Source organism: Homo sapiens, chromosome 12, assembly GCF_000001405.40.
Source record: "Homo sapiens chromosome 12, GRCh38.p14 Primary Assembly".
Taxonomy (NCBI): domain Eukaryota; kingdom Metazoa; phylum Chordata; class Mammalia; order Primates; family Hominidae; genus Homo; species Homo sapiens.
In genome coordinates, this window is record NC_000012.12 from 60,450,953 (window position 1) to 60,453,550 (window position 2,598).

Sequence of the window (2,598 nt, forward strand, 5' to 3'; positions counted from 1 at the left end):
AATATAACTCAAATACCATTATCACACCTAAGAGATTTAATATTAATATACTACTATTACCCTCTACTCAATATTCAAATTTCTCCAATTTTTCTCAAAATGGCACAGCTTTTTTTTTTTTTATCTTTTTGTCCAGGATCCAGTGACTCATCATGGGTTGCATTTTGTTATGTTCTTTTAATCTCCTTTAACTCAGAAAAGTTCTCTGGGGCTTTTGTCTTTTATTAACTTGACATTGTTCAATATTCCATGTCAGTTTTCTTACAAATTGTTATACAATTCTAATTTGTCTGATAATTTTTTTCATTATTAGGTTCAAATTTAAACTTTTATTAGGAATACTGTATTGATTATATTATTTACTTTCTATTGTTTCATATTGCCAAGTACATAATGTCAGTTTGATCCATTTATAGTGATGTTAAGTTTAATAATTTGGTTAAGGTAGTGACTGTCCACTGCTAAATGTTACTTCCTTTAAAAAAAATTATTCCTACAAGTATATATATATTAACTCCTTCAGAACTGTTTGAAATTGAGACTCTCTCTCTTCAACTTGTCTCATAAACAAAAGTTTTTCCATAAACATGGCAATTTTTGGCATTCTTAGCTCAAAATTTTCTCTCACATTAATTTGTGATGACAAACATGTCCAGAAAAGTTCACAGTGCCAATAATTGACCCAGGTAAGGGACTGTTTGCTTTATTACTCAGAGAGCAAAGTTCTCCTTTAAAGAACTATGTTTTACAGTTAGATGTTTTACTATCTGTAGGTGATGACTTCAATCACCCCATTTGGAGCTTATTTTATCTCATATATTTTGTTTCAAGGTTACAGATGTCTATAATTTTTTCTAACTTGTACTTTTTTAAAAAAATTTCTTACAGCAGATTTCCAAAAGGAGAGGAAAGCAGAAATACTGTAACTCTAATATTTTAAAACCACAAATGTCTTAGCTCATTTTCTGTTGCTATAACAGAACACCTCAGATAGGGTAATTTATTACAAAAAAAGAAAAAAGTTTATTTAGCTCATGGTTATACAGGCTGAGAAGTTCAAGAGCCTGGCACTGGCATCTGGTAGGAGGCCTTCACGGTGTAACACCCCATGGTGGAAGGGCAAGCAAGCATTTGAGACAGAGGAAAAATGAAGACCAAATGTCATCCATTTATCAGGGTTCCATTCACATGATAACTAACCAATTCCCACAATAACAGCATTCACCTATTCACATGGGCAAAGCTCTCAAATTCTAATCACCTCTTAAAGGTCTCATCTCTTAATATCATCACAATAGCAATTAAACTTTGACATGAGTTGTGGAGGGAACATTCAAACCATAGCAAGAAATAACTGGGACCTGGCTCCTCCCATGACTCATATTTTTCTCCCTATTTAACTTAACTCTCAGTCATTGCTTCTGATACAGACTTGCCCTTTATAAACCTTCCTGGATCTTCATATAACCATCAGCTTGGCAGCAAAAAGTCACTTCTGCCTAGATCATCTTGCTGTCATCCTATTCTCTACATAGTTATTCCTTACATTTATTAAATGTGTACAAAATTCCTAGAAGTATCCTAAGCATCATAGATGTATTAATCATTTACTCCTCATATTACTGCATGTGGTTTTAATTATTATCCTCATCTACACATGAACAACTCTCAGTACATAGAAGGTGGGCAATAGACCAATGTCAGAATTGAGGATTCCAATCAAGATTCTTTGTCTGTTGAGCATTTTTCCTTAATCTTTATATTCTGCTGCCTCATGATATCACGGCTTGAATAAGCAACACTGTCATAAATTAAAGCAATGTCCCTCAAACATTATAGCTTGAACTGTTGCCCTGGCTATCTCAGTACCTCTTTACATCTATATAAAATAGTGAAAATTTCTCTCTACTGTGTGTTGTTAAAAAAAAAAAAAAACGTAAACCACCAGCCTCCCTGACTCTAAATGCAATGAGTATGTGCAGTGGCTTCAGGTGTACCTGTTGGCTATTTGTATTTCTTCTTTGGAGAAATGGCTACTCAACATCACTAATTATCAGGGAAATGCAAGTCAAAACCACAATGACAGACTATCTCACATATGTTGGAATAGCTATTATCAAAAAAAAAAAGACAAAGAATTGGAAAAGATCTGGAGAAATGGAAACCTTTCTCCACTACCACGTAATTCTGCAATCCCACTTATGTGTGTATATACAAAACAATTGAAATTAGGATCTTGAAGAGGTATCTGTACTCTTATGTTCATTGCAGGATTATTCATAATAGCCAATGAACTCTCATGTTCATTGCAGGATTATTCATAATAGCCAAGATATGGAAACAACACAAAGGTCTATTGACAGATTGAAGGATAAAGAAAATTGTGTGTGTGTGTGTGTGTATATATATATATACACACATATATACACAAATGTATACATATACACATATATACACATACATATACGTACATATATGCATATACATATACATATATACATATACATATACATACATATATACATATACATATATACATACATATATGCATATATACACATATATACACACACAGACACATGGTTGTACATATATATA

General features: G+C 32.6%; 1 annotated feature.

Moving 5' to 3' along the window:
- Positions 516–810: an enhancer, noted in NCBI's record as "tiled region #11134; HepG2 Activating DNase matched - State 9:DNaseU". NCBI's record gives its function as "activates a minimal TATA promoter and a strong SV40 promoter by Sharpr-MPRA in HepG2 cells {active_cell/tissue: HepG2}" and the evidence as "EXISTENCE:reporter gene assay evidence [ECO:0000049][PMID:27701403]".